The 23,557-nt window shown below is 38.0% G+C and overlaps 1 protein-coding gene and 1 long non-coding RNA gene across 7 annotated transcripts in view, besides 1 other annotated feature; one reads left to right on the top strand and one right to left on the bottom strand.

The window, feature by feature from the left end:
- Positions 1-17,862, top strand: part of SEM1 (SEM1 26S proteasome subunit) — a 228,221-nt gene extending 210,359 nt beyond the window's left edge. For 3 of the 6 annotated variants that reach the window (NR_163953.1, NR_163952.1, NR_163949.1), the window contains 3 exons: positions 3,147-3,204; positions 13,071-13,285; positions 15,500-17,862. The gene's annotated coding sequence lies outside the window, so the exon portion shown is untranslated. Of the gene's footprint in view, positions 1-3,146; positions 3,205-13,070; positions 13,286-14,633; positions 14,664-15,499 lie in introns of all 6 variants that reach the window. The other 3 variants (NR_163951.1, NR_163950.1, NR_163948.1) reach the window with 2 other exon arrangements.
- The window catches only part of LOC105375411 (uncharacterized), a 59,097-nt gene that overhangs the window by 9,731 nt on the left and 25,809 nt on the right, over positions 1-23,557 (bottom strand). The window contains exon 2 of the long non-coding RNA XR_927780.2: positions 1,720-1,930. This is a non-coding gene — a long non-coding RNA (uncharacterized LOC105375411). The remainder of the gene's footprint in view (positions 1-1,719; positions 1,931-23,557) is intronic.
- Positions 3,385-3,882: an enhancer, noted in NCBI's record as "VISTA enhancer hs2311; eDlx#18 fragment used in the reporter transgenes". NCBI's record gives its function as "enhancer in: branchial arch[8/11]; activates a minimal Hsp68 or E1b promoter in branchial arch of transgenic mice and transgenic zebrafish {active_cell/tissue: branchial arch}" and the evidence as "EXISTENCE:transgenic organism evidence [ECO:0001131][PMID:17130149, PMID:22914741]".

Below are 23,557 nucleotides of genomic sequence, written 5' to 3'. Positions count from 1 at the left end.
TCCTGCCCGCTGTGAGTCACATTCGGCCAACTGCCACCCGGCACAGGGCTACTCACTTTCTGTGAGTGAAAAGTAGCTCTTATAAAGGGATGGAGTATTACGGCAAGAATCTACTTATGAGAGTCTCAGTCTCAATTTTATTAATGACTTATTCTGTGACCTGAAATGGTCACTCAAGTGGACTTTCTATCCTACTTGCAGAGAATGAAAAAGTGGCAAATTACTGTTGTTGCCTAATAGTCTTAGTATAAGGACATTAGGCTGAATTAGTTATGTAGGCATTATTCAGGAACAGAAATTTCTTGACATAACTATGGACTTCAAAAATTGTGAAGCTGAAATATTTTAATCTCAGGATAAACCCATTATTTAAGTTAAGGTACTCTTGAGAACAAATATGATTACTTCATTGATGTATTCACACCAGAGTATTAAGACATTTTGGTTTTTGAAAAATCTATGTGCTTCATTCTTTATCAGTTGGATAGTGTCTATTATAGTTAAAGCTAGTCTATTAAATAATCTTTATATAAAATGATTTTATAGAAAACCTATTAAAATAAATGTCTTGTACAGAAAAGTTATAATGGGACAGAAACTATTATTAAACTCATTTTCAAGAATGATTCTCTACAAGAAATACTTTGTATGACCTTTGTGTAACCTTCTCAAGGTTACAGGGTTACTTGGACAAGTCAGGTAACATCTCCCTGCTCCTCGACGCTATAAATAAGAATAGAAGCTACCTCAAAGAATTAAATGTGGTAACACATGTATGTTAGAAGAGCAGGACACACAACAATCATTTGACAAACTTTAGCTAATATTATATTCTTCTTATTATTATTGGCACACTTGAAGTATCAGTTGCAGAATACGTTAACAGCAAGAAAAAAGCTCTGAACAATCTTATGGTGTATTGTTCTACCATTAAGTTGCAAGTTTCCCTCAATTCATCTCTGTCGTATCTTCCTGAGAAAACAGCAGAATAGAAATAAGTTCAATCATTCTCCATCTCAAACCTTATAAGACTCTCAGAAAAACCTATCTGATCTCTAGCAAATCTATACCAACATCATGCACACATGCGTGTGTGTGCACACTTACACAGACACACGTGCACATGCACACACACATACACAAAACGACGTGTAATTTTTAGTGAGATTCTCTACGAATTTCAATAAACATCTGTAGATAAGGTTCATTCTTTAGACTAAATTATATTTTATTGCAAACATTGCTATAAACAATAGGAATGTTGCTTAAAAGCATGAGCCTAGAAGGCGGGCCATGTGGTTTCAAGTTTCAGCTCTACAATGTACAATTATTTGTCTTTTCTAATCCTTGGCATCCTCATCTGTAACACCTGCTTTATAGGAGAAAGGCTGTAGTTAAATGAGATGTTGCATGTAAAACACTCAGCGCAGGGCCTGGCACCTTGCCACGTTTAAAATTCATTAAATTTTAGCAATTATTACTCTTCATTACAGATGTTGTATTTTTCATCTCTAAAAGTTCTATTTGGATCCTTTTTATATTTTCTATTTCTCTCTTCATCAGGCTTGTGTTTTCTCTAAAATTTTTAGCACATAGAGAATATAATAAGTGTTTGAAGTCCTCATCTGTTAGTTCCGTCATCTGTTAGTTCCCTTATCTTTGTCATTTCCCAGTCTGGAAATACTTTGGTCATTAAACTGGTGCAATCACAGGACTCACCTTGTTTGCTTCTCTTCTCTCAGGGATGAGAGTCCTGTGCTCTCTACTGTCCAATGTCTAAAAATTGCTGTTTCACATTTTTTGTCCAGTTTTCCAGTTGCTCAGGGTGGGAGGATAAATCCAGTCCACGTTACTCCATCTTAGCCAGAAGTTGAAGTCTTTGGCTATTATTATATCTGAAAGCCAGCCTTAGTTATAAAGCAGTCCTCAGCTGTAAGTCAGATTAAAAGGAGTAACAAATGTGATACATTAGAGACTATACAGGTTTATGTATGCGGTTATAGGATGTTATTAAATACATGTATCAATTTAAGCATGTACCATTTTATTTTTCTTCTTGTTTTTCCACTTCTGAAAATATTTGGTTTTTGAATTCTTGACACTGGGCCAATCTTTATGAAAAGCCACAAGTTAGGAAGTTTTGTATAATTTAAAATCCTGCTTAAGGTATGATTAAGGCTTTTGTGAATGACTTGGTAAATTAAAATTTTCCCTAAAAGAAAAAAATTTGATTTTTTTTGTTTTTTTCCTGAGCCATGCAATCTTCTGAATATTGAAAATTAGATTACTCTTGCATAAATACATTGCAACTGTAATTTAACAACCTATGAAGTTAAAGTATTAAGATCCTCCCAAGTGCAAGGTTTAATTTTTATTATGCAGAATCATACTAATATTAAGCATTATTACATTGTTCAACATTAGATGAATTTGCAGAAAGTGTGTGTATGACAGAGTGTGTGTGTGTGTGTGTGTGTGTATACGTGCTCGTGCGCATGTGTGTGTGTATAGGAGACCCAGGAAGAATACGCACACATGCCAGGGAGAATTAAGCTCAATTTCTTGCTTAAATAAATATTTTATACTTGTTAATATGGTATTTAATCTTCAGGCTGAGAATTATAAACCCATGAAGGGAAATTGAGGAATTCAGACTTTAAAAAAATGCCCTTGAAATGAAATTTAATCACTGCATTTTGAGACATATAAAATATACTACAAAGTGTGAGATAGCTCTACAAAATTTTTATTATGTAGAAATCATTCAAATGAGAAACACCTGCTAGATTCACAAACTGTAGTATATATGTCTAATAAAAATTACTCTTAAATCTTACGTTTCCCCTTTGAGACATTTATTGTTCCTGGAGAAAGCAGTATTTTTTTTCTTATCCTAAATATGTCTTCTATTAAACTAGAGAGTTCTATAAATCAGTAATAACCTTTTAGATATCAACCTCTTCATAATTATGTCCTCCAAACCCAGGTAATTGTTTACATATTTTATACAGAAATAAATAGGAGAAAACATATGTTCCATTTGTTGGGGGGGGCAGTATAAAGATTTAGATTATTTTTCAGCATTTGTGAAGTTTGGCTTTACACTCTTTTATATTACATTTGAATAATTAATTTATTTCACACAGAGAAACAAATACATCAGATGATGCTATGCAGCTCTGAAGGAAGAACATGTATTGCCAGGTAGGAACTGATATGGATTATATCAATATGTGGCTTTTATTAAATATAATCCTCTACATGAGTTAGTATACCTTGAGTGTACTATGACGATGATTTTAACTATCTAACGAGTTAAAATGAATGTTTGGTTTTAGTCAAATCGAGCTCTGGGTATTCTGATGCTTTTGCTATATTTCTCAACAGGAAGTGGGTAAACTTCCAAACAAGAATGATCTCAGATTAAGAAACAACACCAGCATCTCGAAGGCTGTCTGTTTGTACAATGAAATGACAGCAAACAGAGAGGCCTGCGGCTGTTTTCCTAGATGCCTACTCTGGGTGCCAGCCATCTGTGTTCATTTAGGTGGTGTATGTGTGTAGGTAGGTGAAGGGAGGGGGAGAGATAGATCTCAGGTTGCAGGTCTGAGTGTGGTCTCTGATACAGAATGAAACCTCTGCCTGGTGCCTCTCAAACAAGACCTTCATCTGCTGGTCTCTCCAGAGAAGTAATTTCACCAATACCAGCCACGAGGGGTATGTTTTGTGTTTTCTTTATTCAAAGTGAAAGATGTTAAACAGAAATTTTCAGAAGCACTTTTGTTTGGAAGAGGGGAAAGGAAGATCGCGGAAACTGGAAAACATCCATGAAATTAGCCCTAAATCATGGCCAATACTGATCATTTCCTGACAAGCTGTCTGTCAACCAAGCCAGAACAATAGTTTATTCAAGGCCCTCTGGTGCTGACAGTGATAGAGTATTGTTAATTAAATATTGGTACAATGGTGGATATTTTTAAATTTTAACTTTCATAACTGCAGTAGTGGCTAGAACAGCACTTTACTATCAGGAGTCCTCAAAATACATTGTTAATGTCTCTCCTACAGATTGCATTAACAGGAATTAGAAGAGTATCAGTTTAAAGTAAAGGCCCTGAGAGCTTATTTGACTCACCTAAGAGCAGTGAAAGAGAAGAGAACAGAAAGTAGAGATGCCTTCAGTCATGTTAGCTCCAAATTTGGTATTTATTTGTGAAAAAGTCTATCTAAATACAATGTCTATAAATAGGAGATGGAAATGAGCTAATTTGGCTGCATGATTTTATTTATTCATTATCCATAACCAAAAAATTCTGGTTGTCTTTAATTAATCTTATATTTCACAATATTTCTATGGCCTGAAATATCATTAGAATAATCTTCCAATGCTATTCTCCCACCCTCTCTCTTTCCCTCTTGCTCTCTCTTCACCCCCTTCTCTCTCATTATCTCTCTGAGTTTTTGTAGCTCTCACTTATCTGAACTTCTGTGACATATTCATAAAATTTCACAATATTTCTATGGCCTGAAATATCATTAGAATAATCTTCCAATGCTATTCTCCCACCCTCTCTCTTTCCCTCTTGCTCTCTCTTCACCCCCTTCTCTCTCATTATCTCTCTGAGTTTTTGTAGCTCTCACTTATCTGAACTTCTGTGACATATTCATAAAATTTCACAATATTTCTATGGCCTGAAATATCATTAAAATATTCTTCCAATGCTATTTTCCCACCCTCTCTCTTTCCCTTTTGCTCTCTCTCCACCCCCTTCTCTCTCATTATCTCTCTGAGTTTTTGTAGCTCTCACTTATCTGACCTTCTGTGACATATTCTGTTCTTAAACTTGAATTGGTTAATGTTGTGATTCTAACACCCATGTCCTAATCTAAGAGGAGGGCATGCCAGATTCTGGGGTTAACTTTCTGGATGTCATGTCTGCTTACAGAAAAATGATTTGTATTCCCAACTTAGTGTCAAATTATGCATTTATGAAATTACTATAAGGTGTGAAACTGTTCCTCCTAAGCCCTTCTCAAGGAAAAAAAAAATCTCTTTATTAACTGGACCAAAAAGCTACTTTGAGAAAAGCTCCCAAACTTTACAGTAGTAAGAACATTTCAAATTTCTTAGAATGCTGTGTTTCTAGGGTTTGCATGTAATCAAAATGCTTAGGAGAAGAGCAGGAACACTTATTAAGTATTTCACATATCTTGAGAATTATTTAAAATAAGAAACAGACTCACCTGGGTAGCATTTTGCCTTGAAAATTCACTGGCCCGAGTTTGTACACCACAATGCAAAAGATGCATAAGGAACTATTTAAGCTGAACTCTTTCTATTCTGGTATTTGACAACCACTACGAGAGATTTCTTCCTAGGTGTAAAGCAGTTTCTTCCTAAGGGCTCTGATAACTCTGTCTCCACCTTTTGCAATTTGTGTCTTCCTGTTACTCTGTCTTATTTCATGAGCCAGCAAGCACATATCTGTCCAGAATCTTAGGATTCTCACAAAAAGTACAGGACAAAGATCCTACACTCAAGAAGTTTAGCGTGTGGTTGTGGGGAGCAAAACTAAAAAATGTAGGAAATAAATGGAGAACCTATATGTTTTGAAGAGCAATAGGAAATGGTTTTGTGAGATTAGGTGAGTAGAAAGCAATGGCATAGATTGGGGAAATAGCTTGGTTTATAAGACTAACATTGAAGAGAGCCCTTGGAGTAGAGAAGAAGGCAAGGAAGACAGGTAAATAGTGTTGCACAGATGAGAGGGAATCAATTCATTTACTACCTTGAACTTAATGCCACTGTAGATTCTTGAGTGGGGAGTGACATGATGAAGGAACTGTTTAGGAAAATCACTCCAACAATGATATTGGAGGTTTGGTAGGAAACAGTCTGGAAGCATGCAGCTGTATCAAGCAGCTGTTGGAGTGATCCACAGTGATCAGACTTGGGCTGAGGTTATGGCAGAATTAATGAAAATAACCCAATCTTGAGGATACTTTGAAGAAATAAACAATGGTGTATGGCAGACTATAGGAGAAGGGCACTGGTAAATTGTCCAAGGTGACATCTTGATCTCAAGCTTGGAAAGCTGGAAGAACGCTGGTATCACCGAGAAATGAGAAAGTTGGTAACTTGGATAGGAAATGCATTTTCGAAAAATTGTAAAATGTATTTGAGATTATGGTAGCTTCAATTAACATTTTTATATATATTTTTAAAACATTCTAGGCCAGGCGTGGTGGCTCACGCCTATAATCCCAGGCCAAGGTGGGCAGATTACTTAAAGTCAGGAGTTCGAGACCAGTGGGGCCAACATAGTGAAACCCTGTCTCTACTAAAAATACAAAAATTAGCCGGGTATGTGGCTATAACCCAACTACTTGGGAGGCTAAGGCACGACAATCACTTGAACCCAGGAGGCAGAGGTTGCAGTGAGCCGAGATTGCGTTACTGCACTCCACACTCCAGCCTGGGTGGCAGAGTGAGACTCCATCTCAAAACAAACAAAACATTCTAATCTTCTAGCATTCCTACTTTTGAATATACACCAGAAATAATTGAAAGTAGGGATTTGAACAGATATTTGTACATCCATGTTCACAGAGCAGCATGATTCACAGTAGCAAAAGATGGAAACAACCAAAATGTCCATTGAAGGATGAAGGAATGAACAAAATGGGGTGTACACAAACACACACACACACACACACACACACACACATGAATATTATTCACCCTTAAAATGGAATGGACCAGGCATAGTAGCTCACACCTGTAATCCTAGTACTTTGGGAGGCCAAGGCTGGTGGATCGCTTGAGCCCAGAAGTTCAAGACCAGCCTGGCCAACATGGTGAAACCTTGTCTCTACAAAAAAAAAAAAAAAAAAAAAAAAAATACAAAAAATTAGTCGGGCATGGTGGCACACACTTGTAGTCCCAGCCGCTCAGAAGGCTGAGACAGGATGATCACTTGGGCCTGGGAGGTCAAGGCTCCAGTGAGCTGTGAACACGCCACTGCACTCCAGCCTGGGCAACAGAGTGAGACCCTGTCTCAAAATAAAAGAAAGGAATGAAGCCCTGATACATGCTAAAACATGGATGAAGCTTGAGGGCATTATATCAAGTAAAATAAGCCAGATACAAAAGGACAAATATTATATGATTCCACTTGTATGTGGTACCTGTAATAGTCAAATGCCTAGAGACAGGAAGTAGATGGAGTTTATCAGGGGTTGAAGGGAGAGGGGAATGGAGAGTTATTGTTTAATGGGTACAGAATTCAGTTTGGAAAGATGAAAACATTCTGGAGACGATGGTGGTGACAGTTGCAGAACAATGTGAAAGTACTTAATGCCACTGAAATGTATACTCAACAATGGCTAAAATGGTTAAGTTTATATTATGTATACTTCCAAATAGAAAAATGAATGTCATAAAGAAAGACTGTGTAAACACTGAGGGCAAACCAAGGAAGTGCTTCCAAGAAACAAGTGGAATCTGTACACCTGAATTCAAACATAGGACCTGCCACTTACTAGCTGTATGCCTCTTTTTCTTGTCTGTAAAAGGGTGCAATGATGAGAACTAAAAGAAATAACATGTAGCACTCTTTTTGTATTTGGTAGGTGCTCCACAAATATTAGTTTTCTTTACAGTTAAAAAAAATTACTCTTCAATTTGAACTTTTTCCCTGACAGAATTAGACTTCAGATATATTACTGTGCATCTTGCATGCCAGAGAATAACTTCAAAGAAGAGGTGCAGCAGCTGTCAGAGAGCAAAGATATGCCTCGCTCATGCAGGAAGGGCACCCCTTTCTTTACGCAAAGTCTAAAAATCAGGAAAACGCAGCAGTAAATATGAGGCTGCCTTTGACTGACAGCTTCCCTTCCTGCCTGTGCCTCTAGCCCAAATCCCAGAAACATCTGTCACATACACTTGACTGTGTTTGGTTTTTATCTTAACGAATCTTTACGACTAAATAAACTAGTAAGATGTGAGAAAACTTCCAAGTTCTCAGAAAGCTGACGTTTGCTCAGAAATGCCCGGATGATTTCAGTCCTCTCAGTTCATTGATAGAGAAGGAGGTTCAAGGGAGAAGTAAGACATGTTAAAAGCCTACCACTGCCTCTGGTTAAGAAAGAAAACTGGAAATTATCATAACTATTAGCGTGTGGTTAGAAAGAATTTTTAAAATATCATAAATGTTATAAAAACACTTAGATATTTTCATAACTTCTAAACATTATCATGTTCCTGGTTAATATAAGAAGAATTTTTTTTATCAAAAAGGATGTCAAAGCCAGAATCCACTGATGAGAAAATACTTCTAACAATCTAAATAAGTAACCAAACCTCTCTCTTTCAAAGAAAAAAAGAGATACCTCTGTAAAGCAGATGCAGCAATGCAAAGCGAGATACATGAATTTAGACGTTCATTACATTTGTATACCCCACATCAGTATTCTTAAAAACTGCAAGTAATCTCAGAGATCCTGTGTGCTGGAGCTGAGACCAGAATCCAGGGCTCCTAATCCTGAATTCAGTTTTATGTCCCACTGTATCCACTGCCACTGCAGGGGGTCACAGAGTGGTCTTCAAAGAACCCCCCATAAACCACCCCCATATCTGATATTGGCATAACGGATCCAAAATAAAGCCATCTGGACAATTTTGATTGTGATCCTGAGATGCCACCTCATCCAAAATAAGCCTCTCTCGCTCTGATTTCCAACTGACTGACAATCCACAGCACACCTTCCAATGTGATCACGTTTGGCTTGGGCTTGTGGCTTGCATGTTAGTCCACCCCCACCCTGACCCCATGAATAATCACCTCTGCAACTGAAGTTCAGACAACAGGCATCCTGCCTCCTGCTTTATATCGCAGGCATTTTAAAGAGACACCCCTGTGGTCTTAATTCCTGGACAACAATCATTTACACTGTACAAAACTTAAAACTCTAGGGAGGCAGTTAAGTAATTTAGCATTTTTGTTTCATGTAAAAATATTATTTCTAGTTCATAATGGGAAGTTCAAAAACATTGTTTCTTATCATTAAAAGCTCTCAGAAGTGTGTAATCTGGGCTCTTTATAGGTATGTTCCCTATAAAATGCCCTGAGGAACAGAATACAAGTCTTTCTACAAAGAAATACCTTCAATATCTTTTGTTGTTTGAGGAAAGGTCTTTAATTTAGAGTTGAATAGTCATACAGATAAACACTTCAACGTCCTTGGAATCTGCAGATAGTTTATAACAAGCTTTTAAGACAAATGAAGAGTGTTTTTCATCTGTTATGTTGTGATGACCGTGAATTGGAAGTAGAGGGTATACAGGCTCATCCATTCAAGAAATTTTTTTTCATCCCATTCTGTTCCAGACTCTCCAAGGCAGTTGGACACACATGGATCTGACCCTCAGGGATCTTATAGTCAAGTCAGGGTTCCGTACAGGATTGAATAGTGTGTCTCCTCACAATGCCCCTGCACAATTCATGTCCACCAAGAACCTCAGAACATGACTTTACTCAGAAATAGGGTCTTTGCAGATATAATTAAGGTGTAAATTAAGAAAAGGTCATACTGGATTAGGGTAAGACTTAAATCTAGTCATTGTCATCCATATGAAAAGAGGAGAGGGCGCACAGACATAGATACACAGAGGCCATGTGCATGTGAAGGCGGAGGCAGAGACTAGAGTGATACAATTACAAACCAAGGAAGGCCCAACATTGCTGGCCACAGCTGGAGCTACAATCAGCCCCCTCCCAGGAGCCTTTGAGGGATGGTGGCCTGCAAACACTGACTTGGTACTTCCAGACTCCAGAACTGTGAGAGAAGAGATTGCTGTTGTTTTAAGCCACTCAGTTTGAGGTAATTTGTTACAGCAGGTCTAGAAAACTAATACAGGCTCCATCTTCAAACAGTCTGATTTAATTGGCCTGGTGTAAACTTGGGCATCAGTATTTTCATGAAAGCTCCCTAGGTGATTCTAATGTTTTAGACCCATCACTCTAGATTGGTGGCTTTCAAAGTCTTCATTAGCATCAGCATCAACTGGGAACTTATTACAAATGAAAATTCTCTGGCCCCACACAGGCTTCCCAAATTAAAAATTCTAGGGGTAGGGCCCAGCAATTCGTAGCTTAACAAGCACTCCAGGTCATTCTGATGCCACTAATGTTTGAGAACCATTGTTCTGGTTGATAGGGGATCCAGGGAGCAATGGAAAATAATCAGTGAACAGGAATGGAGCAGAGCAATAGGCAGACATATTTTAGAAAGTAAGGGAGGAGTGTTCATGTGTTCTTCTGGCGGCACTGTGAGAGTACATCTGAAAATGTCAACATCATGCTTGGTGTTGCTTAGAGGTATGTGTCCAATCAATCATCTGCCAAGTGCAATTTTTGAAGACATACTGTTTTCAAATGTGCAGGCAGCCCTGACAATTTTGTTACTATTCAGGTCTATAGCCACCCAGACTCTACATTAAGATTGTATCTGTACGCACATCCCAGCAGGCAGAGAAGGAGGGCAATCTGAATACCTGAGATGAAAAACTTCATTGAGGCCAACTTCTTTTAACTTCAATTATTAGAAAACTGGCTCCCCTTGCCACTTCTTTTACCCACAGCCCAAAGAACAAAACAGGCCAATACACTTCATTTTGGCACGGAATTATGCTCTTTGCCAGAATCAAGCTATGTGAGGCTACAGTAACCACTAAGGATGGGGTAACTGGAAATTGTCCCCCTTGATGAAAAGCGTTGGTAAAATCCACATGGCTGGCAGTTGATAGAAAAGAAAATATTAGATGTTATTTTTTCAGAGATGAATGGTTTGAGAATCCAATTTAAATATTTTTATTTGTTTCCTTGATTTTCATCCTTCTGACCTCAAGCAGAAAGGCTTCCCTGGCAGCATTGATAACATTCTTTCTCAAGTTGCTTGCATTGTAGTCACATATTCAGCTCAAGTTTCTCTTATGCCTTTATGGCCCTACTATTGCATTGTCAACTTAAGGTACCATTTCCACAAGCATTAAGGTAAAAAGTACTAATTTTTCTTATAACTCTTTCTCTTACTCGCTCTAGATTTAGAAACTACCTTGATAGAAATAATTAACTTCTCATTTCTAACCAGTACAAGAGAAAGTATTAAGTAGACTAAGTTTGTCTTTGAAGTCCCTTTCCCTTTCTTTCTGAGGTACTCATCCCATGCACCCAGTGCCCACAAGCAGACCCATGATTGCTCAGGCCTCCCATTTAATGGGAGTGGTCCCTCATTTTTCAGATTTTTCTTCTTCTCTCATGCGTCATAGTACATTGGTCTTGTGGATTAAGAAGACCATGCTCTCCCTTGGTTTAACAATAGGGATGATGAGTTGATGATTGCTATTTGTTAATTAGCTGAGGTTACCCTTACTAGATAAAGTAATATTTTAACCCACATGAGTACGGATATCTTCTTACAAGAAGAAATGTGAATGATAAGAACAGCAAGCTCTTGCAGACATAGCTTGGGGACATCTGCCTTGGAGTCCTTACAGAGTTGCCCCAACTGGTTGGCAGCTCATTGATGTCAAAATCAGCTAGTGTGTTTGTTAAATGAAATGTAGACTATTGCATTCCACCCTAGATCTTCTGAATCAGAGTCTCAGTGTTTGGCACTCAGGACTCTGAATGTTAACAACTCTCCTGATTATTTTTTGGTACACTGGAGATTGAGACTCTCTGGTGTCATGGAAAGATCCCCAGATTCAGAGTTGACAGGCCTCATTTTTAATCTCATCTTCACCATGTGCCATGTAGTCCTGGGCAAGTCATGCCTCTAGTTTTGGGATTTAGTTCCTTTACTGTCAAATGCAGGTAAGAATACTTGCCATGTCCACCTTAGAGAATAGTCGTAAGGCTCAAATGAGTTAAAGCCTCCAAACTGCCCTTTGTATTACAGGGTTGGCACTAGAGTGAGGCGAGTCAGCCACTCACCGTAGGGCACAAAATTAAAGGGGGTCCCAAAATACCCATAATCAAGATAAATAATATTTTAATGCAATATTTTTAAATGAAAATTACTGGATAAAAGTCCATACTGATCAAAACATCAACACTTTCGATGTTTTGGGTTAGTGTTACTAATTTTTTTCTTTTGGCCTCAGACTCATAGTATAGCATGGCATTGTTACTAATATTTATTTTAAAATTTGATATTGTGTTTACTGTAGATATTTTGCATTAACTTTGATTTTTAAAAAGTGCTTCCATCAAAATATTGTTTTCTTGATTAATTGATTACTGTGTGATACTCCCTTAAAAGTTGCACCTCAGGTTAGTAACTTACTGGTCTCTCCCTAGTCCCAGCCCTATAATCTAGAATAGGTTGTGCAGATGCATGTTGTCATTTTTACCAGGCTTGGACTCTCCCAGCTCCAGCGTTTCCTCAAATAGTTGCATGCACACGACAAAAAGCTGTGCTGGCATCCTAGCTAAATTCTGCCTGTTGAATGGTGGGAATGTGGTCCTAAGAACATAAGGCAGGCACAGGCATGCGCACAGTGCTTTTCAGGGGCCTCCCTTTCCCAGGGGCACAGAAGAAGAACTCTTCATTGGGATATTTGGTGTGAGAACCAGTTTAACTGGCGTAACTGGAAAATTTGCCTTTGTTTAAGGAAGAACTCTTTCTGCAACTACACACCCATCCCAGAAAAGTTTGGATTTGCAAGTTGCCTCATGTGCAGCTTTTTATTTCAAAGGCTACTATTATATACCAAGGTTACCAAGTCCCCTTGTGTTGGAGGCAAGAATAAGTGACACCCAGGCTGGGTAGCTGGTAACCAGGGAGTGGAATGATTAAAAAGAGGCCTGAGGGTCAGGGAGAGGGGTGACCTGCTGGGCAGAAAGAAGCCCCTGCTCTTACACTGCTTTTGGTTTCCCCACCTCACTCAAGGAGGCTGCTTAAAATCCAGTAATGAGAAGACACAGGGCCAGGTGGAACAGGTGCCCGCCTCCTCACCTCCTGCCAGCCTGAAAGGTCTAGGATAATACCTTCAACTTCCCTTATAGGACTCCAACATTTGTGCTGTGTTTGCTGTACAAGGAGGAAAAGTGGGAAGAAAGCATGGCATAAAAAGGGGGAGGAGACCCAGCATAAGAAGCCCAGCTCAGCGGGCCAGAGGACCCTGGATCCATGAGAGTAAGCATCCGGCCTTTGCAAAGCAACAGATAAACTTGGAGATGCCCAACTCCAGAGCGACAACAGAGTTAGCCTGGGTCTGCAGGTAAGCAGATGACAGCCACAGGAGGAAAAAAAAAAAAGGTAGAAAAAAAATTAACTCTCTAAGTCTTTGACACCAGATACTAAAACTAAAGGCCAGCAACATTGTGACATACTCAACCGTGATCTTTACACGTGATATTTTCCTTTCTTCCAATTCTTCCCTGGTCCTTACATAATGATTTTTAGAATAAAGTGTTATACAGCTTATCACATATCAGAAAAACCTTGGTGGCTGTGGTAAGCTAAACAATGTCCCCCTTACCCCCCACAAAAAGTCCACATTATAATCCATGTACACTGTGAACATGTTGGCTTACAGAGTAAAAGAGATTTTGCAGATATGATTAAGAATGCAGAGATGGGAGGCCAGGCGTAGTGGCTCATGCCTGTAATCCCAGCACTTTGCAAGGCCGAGGTGGACAGATCACAAGTTCAGGAGTTCAAGACCAACCTGGCCAACATAGTGAAACCCTGTCTCTATTAAGAATACAGAAAATACAGGGCATGGTGGCATGCGCCTGTAGTCCCAGCTACTTGGGAGGCTGAGGTAGGATAATCACTTGAACCCAGGAGGCCAAGGTTGCAGTGAGCCGAGATCGCACCACTGCACTCCAGCCTGGGCAATAGAGTGAGACTCCACCTCAAAAAAAAAAAAAAAAAAAAAAAAGAATGTAGAGATGGGAAGATTAGCTTGGGTTATTTAGGTGGGCCCAAAGCAATCACAAGGGCCTTTATAAATGGAGGCAGGAGGCTCAGAGTGAGTAGGAGGAGTTGGGAAGATCAAAGCAAGAGGAGGGATTGAGGGAGGGGCTTCTAGATGCTGAAAAAGTCAAGGAATCCCCTGAAGCCTTGAGAAGGAATGCAGTCCTGCTAACATCCATGTTTTAGGCTTCTGACCTCCAGAACTGTAAGAGAATCAATTTGCCTTGTTTTAAGCCACTAAGTTTATGGAGATTTGTTACAGTAGCAATAGGAAACCAATATAGTTGGTAATGGGTTAACACTGGTCATTCTGACTTAAAAAATTTTGCCTAGACTTAATAAGCAATGACCTTGTCTTGTAAGTAATTTGGTGGCAAATGTTCAAAACTGGCAAAACATTTACTTCGCTGTGTATTTGGAGGACCTCAAAGTTTGTTTGAGCTGAACATGGCATAGTGCACAGGCCTGACACTTTGGCAGCACCCATGTCAGTGCTATATACTATGAGGCACTTAATAAATGCTTTTTGTCAGTCTCAACAGGAATAACAGCTGACTGTAGGATATGGTGTTCCCATTTCCACCAGGGTAAGACAATTTAGAAAGTTGGATTCCAGAGACTTGAATCATGAAATCTAATATTTACAGCTCCACCTCAAGAAAAAAGAAGTGGGCAAGGTAATGGAACAAAGATATAAATGGATATAAATGGGTAACTTTTCTGTATGGTGAGAGGATTTTTAAGGCACCCAGTGATGCCAGTGAAATTGAGTCATTCGGAAGAGTTAGGATTTGGGAGGCGCTTTTTGGTAAGTGAGTGGAATAACTTCTTGTCAATTCCATGCTGGCTTCTGTATCTACTTGTGGCCATGCCTTTTCTGTTCATAATGGTTATGGCACTGATGTGTTTACACTTTCCAGTGGAGTCTGAATCAACAAGGTTTATACACACACAGATAATTCAAATCCATAAAGCCATGCCTGTGATTCTCTTCAGGTATTTACTGACTTAGAGTGAGACACATGTAGCCACACTTAGCATTTTACCTTATGGTTTCTGGCTCTCTTCTCTGGTTCACATGAAGAGCTTCTCATTCATCTTCACAGTTAGAGAGATGCCATAGTTTGATGTGCCTTTGAAAAAGAACTTCACTCTATAGAGAGTTAAAGTCATTGTGGTGAAGATGAAGTTGAAAACAGGCATATGATTTTCAGATTCCTTTCTGAGCAGCGACCACAGGCAGGAAGGAGAATGTACTCAGTGGCTACATGAGTACACTCTGTAGGGCATAACCTCTGGACCTATTCTGCCAGCGATTGCATCCCACATTGCCACTTACTAGCTATCTTTTTTTGGGGAACTTACTTAACAGTTATACCTCAGTTTTCTCATCTCTAAAATGGGGATGATTGGATCTACCCTATAGGGTTGTTGTGAAGATTGAATAAGTTAATATGCATGAAGTGTAATCAAATGATTCCTGGCCCACAGCATTTATCATTCTTCTTCATAGGTCCCTGACTCTTTCCACTGCTCCACTGAGCCCCCCACCATCCTTGGTGCACTGTGAAGATTGTTCTTGCCTGCCTGGCTGCCATTCGGGTGACCTCTACAATCTGGCCCCAGCAGAAAGAACTTGCTAGCAGCATATCAATAGCAGAGATGGAAGTCTGGTCATATGGTGCCCACATCTATTGAAGTAAACATGCTGATACCAGATATCCCTGGCTCTCTGTCTTCAAGGCACATGGTAGAACTATACTTCCTAGCTTTCTGTGTGGCTGGGTGGGTCACATGACAAGTTCAGACAGATGAATTATGATTAGAAGCATTTAATTGTTAATACATATTCTAGTGCTCTTTCCCTCTGTCATCACAACTGACAATGTTTCAGACAGTGACTTCTCCAACAGGCTGGTTCCAGAGTGAAAATAGAGCCCAGTAGAGTCTGTAGCTGATGCAATATGGACATGTAGGGTGAGTGAGAAAATGCTTTTGTTGGGTTAAGCATCTGAGGTTTGATGGTTTGTTGCTACTGCAGCACAACCTTACCCATCCTAACAAATATGACTATTATTGACTAACCTGACAACAGAAGAGTCTTTCCACTTCTGCTGTGATGAGGAACAGAGTTTTTTCCCTGTTATATCTTAATATTAGATAGCAGCAGCCTCTGGAAATAGTTCTTTCTCTACCACTTCTTACCCATGTGGCATAAAGCCAGCTACTAAACCTCTTCACTTTTCAGCTTTCCCTTTTAAAAGTGGGAGTAAATAAGACCTTTCTCATGGAGTTATTGATCAAATGAAATAATTAAATAACGAGTATTTAAATTTTAAATTTAAATGAAAATTCAAATGACATAATGCCTATGAAGTACTTATTTAGTCCATAATATCCTCAGTAAATGGTAGTTAGCCTTACTAACACAAAGGAAATGGACAAAGCCATGCCATTTTCCAAAGTAGTTTCTAGGACCATATTATCTCTAAAAATCCCAACTTTCTGCTGTAAATTTGAACTAATCCAGAACAGGCTAATCCATTGCAATGGCCTATTCATCCTTCTTCTTAGAGTTTAGCTATCAGTCATCTTGTTGCTGAGAACAAAGCCAGCCTAGTTGTTTGTAAGCAAGCCTCTAGAGAGACAGAAACTGTCTTGTATTTCTTTGAATATCCTCTACTGCCTCTAACACTGTGCCTCGGCTATATTTCTGGATCTTTATTTAATTGTTTTGAATGCTTCTTATGTTTAATTTCTGCCATATCCATTAGGAAAACAACGTAATCCTTCCTCCAACACCGATGGTATAAGCCTCCATGACCGGGAAACATTTGCCCCCAAGTTTAAAGAATTTAGTTCTGTAAGGCTTGTTGACCCATCTGACAGGAATTCCTGTACCAAGTGGTCAGTCAGTGAAGATCTCTTTCCACTGGTAACTTTATCAAGAAAGTAAGATACAAGACTGTATGTAAAGTATATTATCCTATGTGAAATCAAGGGACAGAAAATAACTGGAAGGAAATATTCCAAAATGTTAGCAGTAGTTTCTCCCGGAGAATGTGATGTATACATTTGGATGGGTGATATATAAAGTACTTTTCATAGATCTGGGCAAGAGATATTTTAGAGGGCTCCACATACCACAATCACCCACAAATAAATGTATTAAAGAGCACACAGATGCCTTTATCACTCAGGATGTGGCACTCAGAGCTGGCCCAGCATAGTCTATAACACTTAACATCACTCTCATGACCACACTGCTCAGGTCCTAGGGAAGTGTGCCTCTGTATCTCTTCCCTGTATCCTTAAAAGAAAAGATGACCTAATTTGAAAGTTGATAAAAATCAGGGATTATGATGATGTTGCTTCAGAATTCTTGGAGGACGTAAGAGAAAAATAGTGCTGGGTTATGAGAAGAACAAAACTTACCAAATTCCTCCCTGAAGATAACATAAATGCAATAGATTCTTTTACAACAAAGTGTCATTTCTCAATAATGCCAAGAATCCTTTTTCATGCTTCTCTTCTTGTTCACATTCCTGGTTCCCATGCTACTCAATTAACATAATATTCAGAAAAGTTGCAGATGGTGATTTAGGAACATGTTGTAATATTAACATTTCATATTACCCTTAAATTTGCATGCATGCATCATATGTGTATCATGGTACCAATTCTTTATATTGGTAACTAGGTGGATATAGAACATTTACAATGTGAATAGTGTTATCTCTATAAAAACAAGATTTAATTAAAATGTTCATATATGAAATGAAATTTTGGCATATATTAATTATAACTTGGATTTTACCTTTTAAAGTTAATAGATCATTTTGAATATTTTAAAAGACTTTAATAAACATATAAAATAACTTTTAGATTGTTTTTCTATTCAATTTATATATTCTCATTAAAATATGTTTAAATATACTTTGAATATAATTGCAATTTTTAAAGCCTTCAGAGAATTACAATGAGTTGAAAACAAATTATGTAAACATATTGATTATAACAACAAAGTACTTTTTCTGAAATAAAGGCAAGAAAACTTAACTGATGGAACAAATACAAATTTATAAGTTACGTATACATTTTATTACTCATTCAACCATCACAACCCATAGACAGAAAAGCCAGATGTATGCCATAATAACTTTAGCAGACATTTTGCCAGCCTTCAGACATATAAAAACTGTAGCTTTACATATATCCTTTGCTTTTTGTCACTATGAGGGTATATTTCTCAAGGTAGGAGGATAAATATATTTTATATAACAGTTTATAATAAAGAACTGAAATCCCCTCCAAGGGTCAGCTTCAACAATCCCCTTGGGTCTATTTGTTCAGACTGGAGTGTCCATCCAGTTTCCCATGCCAGACGAAATATAGATGAAAGCCCAGACTGTCCCCAAATGGCAGTGTCCCTGACCTCGTGGCAGGACAGAAAGAAGGCAGCCTGGAGGAAGTGACTGATTCACCATGGAACAGCGGTTTCACCAAAACAGAGACCTCCCAGCAGCTCCAGGCCAGAATTATAAAGAACTTTAAGAACCAGTTCCACAGGAAGAGGGCCAATTATGTCCCCAGACTGACATGGTACAAAAGAATAGCAGAAAGATACAACCCTGGGGAAAATTGAGCCCCACAAATAATGTCTCTTGTGGTGAGTTTCCTTTAGTTTCCTCAGGCCCAACACTCAGATATTCTTAAGACAAAAAGTTCTTGAACTTGACAGACAGCTGAGAGCACCAACTATCTCAAGAGCAGAGACTCTTTGGAAATGATAAGGTGCAAACACTGTCAAATGGCTCCCTTTGCATTGAACTGCAATCTCCAGCTATAAAGGCTGCCAGGACCAGCAGGGGCAAAGCTCTGAGCCATCCCTCAAAACACCAGGCTTCTGGTATCTGAGGGCTCCTGGACTTCCTAATGACAGAGGCCTAGGCAGCCCAGGTTTGGGATACGTTTTTTTGGAGGAATCTCCAGGCACGACACTCAGAGAAACAAGCAGCCAGTGAAGAAGGTTGTGTAGCCCCTGTTGGGAAGGTTACTAAGCAGGGGACCCTAGGTGAAGACAGCTGGGCTTCTCTGTTTTTTTTTTTTTAAACCATCTTTCTCAGAGCTTAGCTGGACAAAGCCCTGCTGAAGCCAGAGGTGGGCCCATGGATGTGTATCTTCTTCTGGCACTGTGCTGCTGGGAAGCGTCTCCCTTGAGAGAAATTATAAATGTTCTGGGCTCCTCAGAATTCCAGATTGTTTCTAAAGGCAGCAGTGCAACCTAGATGGATTCTCATGTAAAGCACCCAGTCAGAAATTGATCTGGGAAGCTGGTGTTAATTCACGAAGACAGGATTACTGGATACTGAAGGACTGAATGCTGCTCAGACCTCACTGAAGGTTCACACATTTGAGAAAGCCTGGCATACTCTACCCTGACTTGCCATATGCACATATTCACAAAATGTCCAAGATCTGGTACTATCAGTGTTCAGGTTATTCATTGCTGCCCTCATTTATCAAATACTTATTTAGAGTATTTGATATCAAATACTTATTTAGAGTATTTGATATCAAATACTTATTTAGAGTATTTGATATCAAATACTTATTTAGAGTATTTGATATCAAATACTTATTTAGAGTATTTGATATCAAATACTTATTTAGAGTATTTGATATCAAATACTTATTTAGTGCCTGAGGGTTAAAACACAGGAATGTGAAGAATCACAATATTCTTGAGCCCTTAGATTTTTTTTAGGTGTTTAAACAAGGCCAGGTTCTTCTCTAGGTGGAATAAAGTAAAATTCAGTTTGATGGGGGACGGAGGGTATAAACAACTTCTCTATGGCCTAGACCATTGAAAACACCAAAATTTGTATTCTAAATTTTAATATGGAAATGTGGTCTGGCCTGATTTTCTTCCTGTGTTATTGCTTTAATCTAATCCTTCTGTAGCAGCAGTCCCCAGCGCAGAGGCTTGTACTAGTGAATGTGTTTGGGGAGTACACAGAGGGAGAAATGTGGGTGTTCTCTGTGTGTGTTCAAAGCTTTTGATGTTAAAAAACATACTCTCTAGCCTGTGGCTTTTCCACTTACGAGACTTGCTCAGGCCTTGTGTATCACTTCCTAGGCCTCCACTCACATTTGACCCCCATGAAATGTCCTCCAGTCTCTGTCCAGCTCTGTTTCTTGCTCTTGGTGCCCTACTTATACATCAAAAAACCAGTAAAGCTGCCCAGGAGTACTGAACTCTAATGCCAAGAATAAAAAATCACAATAAAATGTATAGCTAATTTTTCCTGTTTTTAATGTGCCAAGTACTTTACTTTCTGTTTCATTTTATATTCACAAGCTTTGCCATTGTTCTAATGAGGTGCTGAGGTCACGAGACTGGCCTGAGATCACATTGCTGGAACGCAGCAGATCTAGGATTCAAAACCAAATCTCTTTGACCCCCAAACCTATGCTCTGAGTTAAAATGCTGTGTGGTCTCCTCTAAGCCCCTTTAACACTCACTGTCTCCAGTTATGTCCTCTTTTCCATTCCTAATATGATCCGTCTTCTGTTCTTAATACAGGCAGCCAGAATTTTGTTCCTTTTCAAAGTTTCTTCAGAGAACCAATCTCAATTGTTGATCGATGTTTTCTGTTTCATTAATTTTCAACCTGATATTTTATTTCCTTTGACCTAGTTTCTTAAGACTTATTCTGCTGTTCCTGTTTTTAATTTCTCAAATTTGATCAGTTCATTAATCTCTACCTTTCATCAATATGAGCACTCAGGTAATACATTTTCCTCTAAGTACAGCTTTTCTTCAAGTTTTGATATTTAGTCTTGTTAATCATTCGATTCCAAGTATCTTCCATTATATTAATTCTATGATGCAGAAATTATTTGAGGAGTTTTTAAACTTACAAGTATGCATTTCTCTAACTTAATTGTAAGAGTATAGAATGTATGATACCAGACTTTTCTGTCCTAGCACATGGTCACTTTTCATAAATTTTCTGTGTGCTTGGAAAGAATGCATATTTGCCAGTTGTTGAGCAATGTTCTTATATAGATTCATTTTACCAAATGTGTTGGTGGTATTGTTTGGTTCTATATACTTTGCAATTTTTGTCTTTTGATCTTTTAATTACTGTAATAGAAATATGTATCAAATTTCTCACAATGGTGGTGAATTTAGCAACTTCTTGTAGTTTAACCAGAATTTCCTTTTGATGAAATAAATCTCTGTTTCTAAGTCGATATACACCTAGAATGGTTAAAGCTTCCCAGTGAATTACATCATTCATCATTATCCACCTCCTTAAAGTTTATTGTGTCTGATATTAATTACTTTCTCTTCATCAGCTTTCTCTTAAGCTGTATTTTCCTGGTATATATTTTTGTTAATCTTTTAATTTTAAACACTTCTGGTGGAATGACTTCATATTTTAGGTGTCCCTTTAGGGAAAACATAACCAAACTGGATTTTATTTTTTAATTCGGTATGATAGTCATTATCTTTTAACTAGAAGGTGTAACCTATTTACTCTTATTGTGAATTGTGATATATTTAGTCCATGTTATCATTTCTTCAATCTTATCATTTGGGTTTATTTGTTTTTTTCTGATAGTGTTCTTTCCTGCCTCAATTTAAAAATGTGTTCCATTTTATTTTTTCTATTAGTATAAAAATTATAAATTTGATTCCCATTCTTTAATGATTTTCTATAAATATTAACATTAATATTTAAGTTAAGTCCATGTCTTTGCATTCTCTTGGAATACTAAGACTTTATAATGCTTTCATTATAATGATACCACCACTCCATAGACAAATAATATGCTATTTCTGCTTATTTTTTTTTAGCTCTACATGTTAAACATTTATTATTATTTTATACAGTTTCTATTTATTTAGATATACTGATATTTTTAATATTTATTCTTACATAATGGGGGTTTCGTTATGGGACGATATTCTTTCTTCCTAATGCACTTTTTCTAGAAGTTTCTTTAGTACGATGTTGACGGTACATGGACAAAAAGAAAAGAACAACAGACACCAGGGCCTCCACCAGGTGAAGGACAGGAGGAGGTAAGAATCAAAAAACTAACTATCGGGTACTATGCTTATTACCTGGGTAACAAAAACATCTGTACACACAACCCCAATGACATATAATTTACTATTATAACAAACCTGCACCTGTACCCCTCAACTTAAAATAAACGTTTAAATAAACAAGCAAATAAAAAGATGTTGGTGGTAAGGTCTTTTTTTTTTTAATCTCAAAATGACTTTAATTCGACCTTGTTCAAAAGAGGTGATTTTACTGGGTGTATAATTCTTTTCCTTTCTTTCTTCTTTTTTTTGTAGAGATGGGGTCTTGCTATGTTTCCCAGCCTGATCTTGAACTCCTGGCCTCAACTGATCCTCCCCACTTGGCCTTCCAAGTGCTGGGATTACAGATGTGAGCCACGGTGCCCAGCCTACAGTTATTTTCTTTTAGAAATGTGTAGAAACATTCCACTCTCCTCTGGCCTCACTGTGCTCTAGAGAAGTCCCTCTATAAGTAATAGCAATAACAAGCAGTTAAAGCTTTTTTTACAGTGTTACAATGTGCCAGGGACTATTTTTGGCTATATCTATATACATTGTCATTTAATTTTCATGTCCATACTATGAAGTAGGTACTATTGTAGGTCGAGTATCCCTTATCCAAAATGCTTGGGACCTGAAGTGTTTTTGATTTCAGATATTTTCGGATTTGGAAATATTTGCACTTACATAATGATATATTATTTCACTTATGTTCATTTAAGTTCATTTATGTTTCACATATACCTTATACAAATAGCCGGAAGGTAATTTTGTACAATATTCTAAACAATTTTGTGCATGAAGTACATGAAACAAAGTTTTGACTGCATTTTGTCTACAACCCAACACATGAGGTCAGGTGTGAAATTTTCCACTTCTGGTGCTCAAAAAGCTTCCAATTTTTGAGTATTTCGAACTTTCGGCTTAGGGATGCTCAACTTGTATTGTTATTTCCATTTTATAGATGAGGAAACTCAGGCAATTAGTTCGCTAGTGATAGAGCCTAGATTTGAATCGAGGCAGTCTGGCTTCAGAGTCTGTACTCTTAACCATTACACTGGCAGCATTTCCGACTTATTTCAAGTAGAACTTTTTTTAAATTTTTACTTCTTAGGATTTGTGTAACTTCCCACATTTTATGTGACCTGTTATTCTACAGTTCTGGAAGATTATCAGACATTATCACTTCAGATATTGGCTTTTCTCTATCGTTTGTCTGAAATATCCAGTAGACATACGTGTAAACTTATTAATCCCTCATATTTTTCGCATTTCTAATCTTTGTCTAAGAAGCATAATAGTCTCTTCAGCTGGAGTTTCTGTTGCATCATTTTTTCTTTTTTTTGGTCCTAATTGGCTTAACCCATTGCTTATCTAATTTAATTACTATATTTTTAGTTCTAGAAATTGTATTTGGTTCGTTTTAAAATTAGCTTGGTACTTTTTATAGTCTTTTCTTGTTTGCTTGGT

Source organism: Homo sapiens, chromosome 7 (genome assembly GCF_000001405.40).
Source record: "Homo sapiens chromosome 7, GRCh38.p14 Primary Assembly".
Classification (NCBI taxonomy): Eukaryota; Metazoa; Chordata; class Mammalia; order Primates; family Hominidae; genus Homo; species Homo sapiens.
Note: the sequence above shows the minus strand (reverse complement) of the source record. Positions and strands in the feature narration are given on the sequence as shown.